The 10,047-nt window shown below is 48.6% G+C and overlaps 2 annotated features.

Moving 5' to 3' along the window:
- Positions 1,808-2,698: an enhancer, noted in NCBI's record as "H3K27ac-H3K4me1 hESC enhancer chr10:130318447-130319337 (GRCh37/hg19 assembly coordinates)". NCBI's record gives its function as "activates a minimal SCP1, AML or CMV promoter by ChIP-STARR-seq in primed H9 embryonic stem cells {active_cell/tissue: H9 hESC(primed)}" and the evidence as "EXISTENCE:reporter gene assay evidence [ECO:0000049][PMID:30033119]".
- Positions 2,699-3,590: an enhancer, noted in NCBI's record as "H3K27ac-H3K4me1 hESC enhancer chr10:130317555-130318446 (GRCh37/hg19 assembly coordinates)". NCBI's record gives its function as "activates a minimal SCP1, AML or CMV promoter by ChIP-STARR-seq in primed H9 embryonic stem cells {active_cell/tissue: H9 hESC(primed)}" and the evidence as "EXISTENCE:reporter gene assay evidence [ECO:0000049][PMID:30033119]".

The raw sequence follows: 10,047 nt of genomic DNA, 5'->3' as shown, positions 1-10,047 counted from the left end.
CTGGATTGTGTGGACTTTATGTGATAAATGCTTGTTCTGGGAACCCCCACTTCCCATCCACGGCCTCTCTGGATTCTTCAAGAACCCAAGAGCCATGTCTACCTGGCTGGGCCGTGCTGCAGCTAAGAAGGAGGAGCAGCTGGACTGCGCTCTTAGCCACGGGGAGGATCTGGTGCTCTGGCTGTGGCCCCAGAGAATAAGGAAGACCCAGTTTCCTTGGAGAGGGGTCTAGGGTCAAGGCCTGGGATATTTACTTCTTCCTGCTCAGAGCCCATAATTAAAGGAGTCCTGGGATGAGTAGAAGGTAATTACTTCTTTTTCATACTCTGAGAGCCCTGCCTTGCTTCTTGTTCACCTCCCCGTCCCCCAGAAGTGGCCTTTGCAGCTGCAGACGCAACTTGGCCTTAAAGGAAGACAGTGCCTGTAGAGTAATAGGAGGCAGGGTGGGTGCAGGCACCAAGCTCAGGAAGCCTCGAGCACACAAGAAAAGACCTGGTCTGTGCTCCCTCCACTGAGCCAGGGGCCTCCAGGCAGTTACCTCCAGGCTGCTTCAAGCCAGACTTTTTATAAACTCTTGGTCCCTAAATAACAAAGTCAAACACAAAACTCAAATAGGAGACAAAAATTGCAAACAGCTATATTTTGACATTAGATAAAAAGAGAAAACGTATTGGTTGTGCTGAGAATTTCATGACAAATCCCACTTCACGCCATGGAAACTGTCTCAAGCTGGCATTGCAAATCTCACCCTGAGTTTGCAGGTGACCTGGACAGAGAAGGGTGAACACCTGGATGGAGAGGGTCGAACAAAGCACATCTGAGCACTTGGATCGAGCAGAAAAACAGAAGAACAAATGGACCCAAAGAAAACAAACAAAAACTAGACTCTGCTTGGGGCAGGGGACAATTAAAATAATCATTTAAAATTTTGAGGTAAGATGCAAGTTTCATTTCTATTGTGTAGAAATAAAAAGGAACCTGAGTTGAAGAATTGGCTAGAGTTTGCTTTCTTTGGACAATGAGGAATTCTTTCTAGAACAAGTCACAAATTTCAATGCGTGGCAAAGAGGAGGAAACAAGGAGGCATCTCCTGCACTCACAGGTGCTGTTCTCAGATGGACAAGAAGTTAGGTCATTCACCAGGTGAGGAGGAGGGCGGCTGGGCAACTGGCCCCTTCCTCACTTCACTCTCTTGCCGTCATTCATTCATGCAGCATGTATTCACTTATGATTCCAGAATCTTTCCCTTCCTCAAACTCAGCTCAAGCATCAGGTCTTGGAAGCCCACAGTTGCCTCTCCCTCCCATCCTCATATTTCCTGGCACTCAGCTACAGAATAATTAACAATGCTCCTCCTCAGGCCATAGCCCCTTAAGGGCAGTGATTTGCCTTAGCTTGCAGTGCCGGCTGGGCATGGTGGCTCACACCTGTAATCCTAGCGCTTTGGGAGGCCGAGGTGGGCGGATCACTTGAGGTCAGGAGTTCGAGAACAGCCTGGCCAACATGGTGAAACCCTGTCTCTACTAAAAATACAAAAATTAGCTGGGCATGGTGGCATGTGCTCGTGATTCCAGCTGCTCAGGAGGCTGAGGCAGGAGAATCACTTGAACCCAGGAGGCAGAGGTTGCAGTGAGCTGAGATCACACCACTGCACTCCAGCCTGGGCAACAAGAGTGAAACTCAAAAAAAAAAAAGAAAAAAACGAAAGAAAGAGAAAAGAAAGGAAGGAAGGAAGGAGAAAGAAAAGAAAGAAATGAAAAGAAAAGGAAAGAAAAGAAAGAGAGAGAAAGAAAGTGTGCAGCACCTTGTCTGACCCTGTCCCCAAATCAGTGCCAGGCCCTTGGAGGTTCTCGGTAACGCTTCCTGAAGCTCGTAGAAGAGTGTATAGTAGAATGCTTTGCAAGGCTTGGGTGTTAAATCCATTATTGTGACTATCAGAAGAACATGTCTGTCATTATGCATATGATGGCATCAAGACACCCTTGTGAACAGCCACATGAGGGTACAGATGAAGTAGAATGGGTTCTTGGAGGACCGGGTGAGGATGACTACCTTGGATGAGGGGAAAGGCTCCCTAGGGAAGGTTTCCATCTACCACTTCTTCCTAAAGGGATGTGTGTGGAGCTCTGTCAGCCTGCTAGGTGCCAGTGATGACCCAGCTGTGCAAGGCAGACGTGGCCCCCACCATGTATGTGAAGGTCACCATCCACGTGGGAGTGGCTGACCAGTAAACAGTCAGTGATACTGCAGAATTTTAGGGGATATGACCACAGAGAGAGACATGCCAGGGCATGCGTGTGAGAAACGCCTCAGCCAGGCCTCAGAGGCAGGGCCAGCCTCCAGGATGAACAACATGTCAGTGAGGAGCCAAAGGCTAGGGGTGGCAGACGGGCTATGGAGGGCGGAGCCCACCTATCTAGGGCTGAATGGAAGGAATTTGCAGACAAGGACAGTCCTCAAGACTTAGTGAATACAGCAACGAGGCTGAGACATGGACACGGAATGCAAGGTCAATTAAGGCCAGAGTGAACAGCAACCCATGTTGACCCGTAGACTTGTGTGAGCCGCTGTAAAGGTCTAAGCAGGTAAGCTACATATTCAGGCTGGACACACCTAAAGATGGCATGAAGGCAGGAGGGCCAGCTTCGTGCACCAGGGCCTCTGAAAGATCACATTGCCTTTTGTTGGATGGTGCCAACAGCCCCCTTCTCAGAAGGGGAAACCCCAGGAGATGCCTCAGTGACAGACATCAGGTCACAAACTAGAGACCCAGGCAACAGAGCATGGGCCTGGACTGGCACTGACCTTGGCCATCCCTGGATTCCTGACATGGGGAAAGTTACCCTTTTCTGAGCTTCCATTTCTTTGTCATCAAACTGAAAGGATGAAATGTTCTTGAAGGTCCTTCTCAGCCCCATGCACTGTGATGGAGGTTATTTCTCTGCAGGAAGCAGAGCAACTGGCACACAGAAGAGAAAGTAGAGGCTGCAGCATCTGCAGACGGTCTTGCAGTGTGAGGCACAGGAGCAGTGGGCTTGTCCATGAGAAGGGCCAGCCCCTCGGGGGAAGGCATGACTGCAGGACCTCCCTCTGTGTGGCGTCTGCCAGGGACACATTGCTCATCTCTGCAGCAGGGCTCCACGGCAGGGAGGTGGGGCGGGCTGTGCTGCTGCCATTGCTGCTGCAGAAATGCCTCTGGGTTGCTAATACTAATGATATTGGGAGTGTGCAGTGCAAAATTTAGTTTACGGAGAAAACAACTCTCTGGAGAAGGCTGAAGTCCATAGTGGGTCAGCCAGACCATGATTCCCTGGCAGAGTCTTAGCGACTTCTCAGACGAATGAGGCCCCCCCCGCCCTTAGTGGATGGGGACAACGGCTACTGCATGTGTCGATGGCTTTTCATGTGACTTAACACCATCACTGTACCAGGGATGTCACTTATATTGGCTTAGATGTGGCTCTAAGTTTCTTAGAGTAGGCAGGAAGAGTAGCTCTCCTTGGCCTCCTGAACTGACTCTCTTTGGCTGAGGTGGGTGGGGTGGTGCCCGGGGTGAAGTGGGGGCTGTAGGGGCACGGGGGTGAACTCACCTGCTCCTGTTCTGGTAGTTGACCCTCCGGTTGGCTGACAAGAAAACAAATGGAAGGAGACAGAGGACAGAGGAGAGATGTGTTCAAGTCGGAGAAAGTTCCAGAAAGAACAGTTGCCTGTGTTCTGTAGAGACCAGGGCCTCTCTGGTGTTAGAACCTCTAGACAGAGTGCTGTTCGGTTGCTTTGGTCATTTTCATGAGTATCAAAGGACATGCTTGTGCCATCACTGGGACCTGGAGTCCCTGCGGCAAGCGGCCCTCCTTCCCTGCCTCAGCAGAGGGGAGAGCCCTGCTACGGAGGACCAGCCGCCATTCGGAAAGGTCTGACTCTTCCACACCAGTCCGCAGGTAGGGAAGAAAACAACCGTGACTCACAGCCTCATCTTAAAACACTTTTCCTGATGAAAGAACTATTAACTAAGTAATGAATTTTTTATTTATCACTTAAGTGAAGCCTCACCGAAAGCAATTAGGCAGCGAAATTCCGTGAAAATAAAGCTTGAAATTTGATAGCACGCTTATTTCTTGCATTTTACATAATGGTCAATATTTTGGATTACACCCACACAGACTCTGGATGCCAGACAAAAGCCCACCCTTGCAACTGAGTGTTGCAAGAGCAGCTTGGAACACTCCTTCTCGAATTAAATCTAAACCTGAAACATGCTGGGGGCCCAACAGCAAGACACGGGTGCCCATTTAGTCTGAATCCGTATCGCCAAGGCAAAAGTAGCCTAGGCATAAGCGTTGGGAGCAAACAGCACAGGAGAAGAGTGTTGCAAAGGCTTTGAGAAAAAGACTGAACACAGAGCCTGGAAGGTGGAAATGGAGTCAGAACAGCCCCTCCAACTAGAGGGGTCCTGCCGGCTCACCCCGTCTCCATGCCCTCTGGTTTGTGTCATCTCCAAATATCAAAAGCAGTCATCAGAGGTTATGTGGAGGGGAGGGGGAGCTTTCAGCCTTGTCGACACTTCCCAGGTGGCTCCAGCCACCGCAGTTCTCTCTTGTGACTTTTTCACCAAAATGAAATCTTGTCTGTAGCTGCCTTTGCCTGTGTTTTGTTGTTGTTCATATTTTCCTTGAAGAAGCGTGAGGCGGCTAAAAGCATTCCATTGGAGATGCTATCTAATCAGCCGAGGATTTCCAGAGACCTCACGGAGGGCCGTGTGCGTGAGTGTGTCTGTGTGCACTTGTGCACACACACTCCTGGGTGGGCCTGCTCCTTTCCCCTTCTGAGGGTAAGGTTGTCACGTAGCCACGAAACTCCTCCGTTTGGCAATGTGGATTTTATGGGCATGGGTCCTGAATGCAACAGTGTTGCATTTTTAATGACGATGATGTTAAATGGACTTAATGAGTGACACTCTCTGGATTCACAGAGCATTTTTATAACATTTATTTTAAAAGGCCAAAGTTTATTTTACAATCAGTAATAAACAGGAACACAAACAACGCAGCCATTGCCACAATGGCCCTAACACGTTCCTTTTGCCCGCAAACTGCAAATTATTCTTGCTCGATAAGTGATGGGAAAACCAAAATTGAAGTCCTCTACAACATTTGATCATCTTACTTAAAAACAACAGATGCTCCAAGCGGTGGCATTTTGAAAAGAGCTCTGTCTGCTGCTGGTTATGAAATGGCAGGACATTTGGCATCCTCCTGCATCGCACCATTTGAAAACCGTAGAGTCACATAAACGGCCAGTGAGAGGTAGGAAAATTTAGCTCCTGTCTGCAAAGCACTATTCATTTCATTCCAGTGATGCAAAACTGCAGAGCTGCCTTTCAAAAGAAGAGTCTGCAAAACTTGCCAGACGAGGTAGTCTTTAGCAGCAAAGAGCACACACACACACAGACCACACACGCACACACACACACACAGACACACGCATGTACACACACACACACACACAGACACACGCACGCGCGCGCACACACACAGCACCAGAACACACTGGTGAAAAACAGGCTTAATAAAGCAGTTTTAATAAAGAGATGCTATTTTCTCATCTAGGGTTGTGCCATGACTTGAACGTTATTAAAAGTGAGTAGATATACACCCCTAAGCAGAGTAAAGCTGGACGCCCCCCTGATGAAAGACCCCCACGGCACAACCCAGGAGCAGAGCCTCACTGGGGAAACAGGACAGAGGGTCAGGAGCAGGGGAGACCACAAGGACCACTGTGTTTGTGTCAAAGCCTCCGGATGATGGCATGGCCACCACAGCCCAAGGAATAGCACAGCTTTCACCAAACCTTAGGAAGGGAGCCAAACTCAGCCTAATGGCCGATCTCAATTGGTGGTTTCCTTCTTTAGGATGTGAGATCTTTCTCCAAGGTCAATGCTTAGAGATGCCCAAATCTCCCACAGACGCCTTAGCCTCCTCGCCTACAGCAGGTCTTACACTCCTGTGTAAGAGGATGGAAACGTCCTGATGGAAATGCCCAAACCCCTCAAATCCTTTATATTGCCCCTTCCTGGACGACAGCCCCAGACTCTGGTTGTGGCTTCTCAGCCCCAGACCCCCTCTTGTTTAATTGTTTAATTGTGTCCTGCAGAGGGCAGCTAAGACATTTCATTCATTGTTCAAGGACAAATGGAGACGAGATGCAATTATTTAGAATATCCAAGCTCAACATTGCTTGAATCCAGCTGCTTACATGTTGGAGGCAACAGATTAGAACAAGAGTCCCAAGCCCCTCCATCTGCACCTGTGCATTTCAGGATGGGCCATGGACTTCTTCCTTCCTCTTGCATCTGACCAGACAGAACAAATTGCAAGCTGAGCTTCAAGGCTTTGGGGAGCCAGTGTTCTTCTGGGGCACCCAAGGTGCTTGGAGCAAAACCAAAACCATGAACGAAAGAGTTTCAGCCTTGGAAAAAGGAAGTGGAGGCTTCACAGTGGAGTGAGTGGCTGTCCTGGTTTCCAGTGAGAATCAGAGGCATCGTGGCCATCAGGACCAGTGTAGGAATGGGGCCCAGCAAGCCCAGTGGAGCCCTTTAGAGACATGAGTGCATGAACTCTCACCGCTTGCACAGTTTTGGCCCTGAATGATTGAAAACTACAAATACAATTGTGCTTCTCACTGCCATTTTCTTCTCAGAAACATGTCGGAGAGAAAACTCACAGACTCTTCTCACACTCTGTAATCACCTTGAATGGGGCCCAGGGTCCACTTTGCCAGGCTGAACCCCAATCCGTGAAAACAGTGTCCGTCCTCAGTCATGAACCCTCCCTCAGCCACTGACCTCAGCACGCAGCGGAAATGCAGAGTCTCAACGAGGAGGAATAAAACTGCAAGACCAGATGAGTCTCGCCCTAGAAGGAGAATGTTTTCCTCTCTTCCTAGGTTGAATATTTGTCCTGTCATTCAGCATAAAATTGCACTTAATATTTGATTCAGTGAATCCCAGAGAAAAGAGTGTGCAGCCAAAACTTGGGGCCATTGCCACATGTTTTTGTCGAGTATCATTGAACATAAACCTTGCTGGCTAAGAGCTGATTGGTTGGGTTTTATTTCAGCCCAGAGTGATTTTTTAAATGACTAATTTATAAAATCTTTGAAAATAAGAGTTTCTAATGGAAGTGCTTACACAACCATAACTCTGGTGTTGCAAATGGCACCATTGTCATTAAGGGTGTGTTGTTGTTTGTTTTATGCTAATCTGCCTTCAATGTGACAGACTGTCACCTGCACGGGGGGTACCGTTCAGCACTATATTAGCCCATATGGCACAAGCTAAATTGTATCGAAGCTATGGGCTAATTACGGATGAGTTAATAAAGCCAGGCAGAGTGAGCCTGGCCATCTCCCCCAGCCCTTGGAGGGCCCCTCCCTTCCCCAAAGTGAATTAGCCTGGCCGGAGCTTTCCAATTCTTCACAGTTTGGTTTCTGAGGACAAATCTGCAGCTCTGTTTTAAATAAACTTTTCATCCTTCCCATATTCCCACTGTTTTGATGCTAGACTTAAAAACAACTTCAGCAACCCTGGACACTTTTTTAAATAACTGATTTACTTAAGAACAATTTGGATTTCGGAGCATGAGATAGTCCATGCCCCTGGGACCAAAGGCATCAGTTACTTAAGTTACTCGGGTTTGGTTTCTAGGAATGTACAAATAAATATGTATTACATATTGAGGCTATAGGTACACAGCCAGCATAGACGCCGTGCAGCCATCCATGATGGTTCAGAAGCCGCAAGCATAAACCAATTATGGTAACATTCCATCAGCTTTTTAATCAGAAGAAGCAAACATTTAATTTTGATGGGGTTGATTATCAAGTTTGAAAACGTCTTATTTGGGTTTTCAGCAAGCTCTTTTCAGCTCTTCCTCAAGCACTGCCCAGGCTGTCCCGTCCATGTGGGGACAGTGGCATGTCATTTGCTGCCTCTCCAGCTCCACCTCTGCCACCAACCAGCAAGGGGAGCAGCCTTTCCTCCTAGCCGGGAGGGTAGCCCTGCAGGCCTGTCCTCGGAGACTGCATTGATGCCGCTCTGTTAATCAACTGGCACTGGGAACATGGGACACATTTGCCTTCTCCCTCCCAAAGCCAGCCCAGCCTGCTTGTGCTATGCCAGCCTGGGGAACCAGATTTCTTGGGTGACACCCTCAGCTTCTCCCTACGTAGTCTTTAGACGTCTCAATTAACTGGGACAGTGACTCACAAAACATGACAATCTGCCACTTCCAGAATATTTGCAAATAACTGCACTTTACATCCCCTGGAAAAGTTTACACTATGAGATGCTAAGCTACCAAGCCTCCCACTACCTCATGCCTCTTGCGGTGAATATTTTGAACACCAGCAAATTCCTCTCTCTCCCTGATATTTTTCACAAAGCACACACCCTTATTTTCACCCTTTCTATATTCTCAGCTACGTCATTGGCATCCAAAATTTAAAAAATAATAATACAGCCCCCAAAAAATAAAAGGGCAAGAAGTCAATCAGACTTGCATACAGGGAGGCAGCAGGCCCAGCTCTCCCTATCACTGGCCAGATGATGGCGGGCAGACGAACTGAGTCCTCCTCCTCCTGCCTGCACTGCCCTGTCTCTAAGGAGGGGAAAGGGACACTACCTACTTCACAGGCCTTAGGAAGCTCAGTCCAGTAGTAACTACAGGATGCAGAGAACTCCACAAAGAGTGGAAAAATACATGCATATATGCTACTGGCCAGTGACCCAGTGATATGGTTTGGCTGTGTCCCTACCCAAATCTCATCTTGAATTGTAGTTCCCGTAATCCCCACATGTCACGGGTGGGACCCAGTGGGGGGTAATTGAATCATGGGGACAGCTATCCCCATGCTGCTGTTCTCATGATAGTGAGTGAGTTCTCATGAGATCTGATGGTTTTATAAGGGTCTTTTCCCCCTTTTGCTTGGCACTTCTCCTTGCTGCCTTCATGTGAAGAAGGATGTGTTTGCTTCCCCTTCCACCATGATTGTAAGTTTCCTGAGGCTTCCCCAGCCCTGCGGGACAATGAATCAATTAAACCTCTTTCCTTTATAAATTACCCAGTCTTGGGTATGTCCTTATAAGCAGCATGAAAACAGACTAATACATCCAAGAATGCCAAAACAACAACACAAACCTTGACTTCACTGTATCAGAGGTAAAAGGCTGGGGCTGGAACAGGAACTATAGTGTCCCCCAGACTCTGACCAGCTCACAGGAGAGGTGTCCTATTCTGCTTAGAGCCTGAAACCAAGTCTTTTCTGGCCTAAAGATGATGCTTGAGGCTGATCACCCCTTCCTGTGTGAGTCAGGGTCCCACATGGGGATCTATGTAATAAAGAATTCATAAAGAAGGCATTTGCCCTCACATAGATATAGGCATGAGGCTGGATGCCCTATCTACGGGAGGTTCCTGTTTCCACATCTGGTGCTGGAGCCAATGTTCCACAGAGCTAGCCATTAGGGAGAGAAGATGGTCATGAGGAGAGAGACTAGGACCAGCAGGACTTGGGTGGCTGAGCTGGGGCCCTCAGGAGGAACTGGGATCTGGGTGCTCTCCTACCACCTCTCGGCCTCCATTGTTAGTACCAGGACTTCTCAGGAGAAGTGAGTGTGTCCCCTCCCCAAGGCCCTAACCAGCACAGGACCAGGGTTCAGAGAAGCTGAACAGAGGAGAGGGCTGGAATTGAGGAACCCTAGACCCCTCCACTAAGAAATGACCCCGCATGAGCTGCAAGCACCCCGGCACCCCCAAGGACCTCCAGCCCCTCCCTCATTGGCACCTTCCGTGTCTCAGAAACAATCTTGTGGCCCAGGCTAGCCCAGAACTCTGTGGGGAAGGGAACTCTAAACTGATGTGATACAGCCTCCCGCCAGTGCCACCTGGGGATGAGGTTACCCAGCCATGGTTGAGCTCAATATGAAAATGAAATATCCTAATTGACATAAAAGCAAATGTTAGGAGAGTTGGCCAAACATGTTCATGCCGA

This window comes from Homo sapiens, chromosome 10, assembly GCF_000001405.40.
Source record: "Homo sapiens chromosome 10, GRCh38.p14 Primary Assembly".
Taxonomy (NCBI): domain Eukaryota; kingdom Metazoa; phylum Chordata; class Mammalia; order Primates; family Hominidae; genus Homo; species Homo sapiens.
Note: the sequence above shows the minus strand (reverse complement) of the source record. Positions and strands in the feature narration are given on the sequence as shown.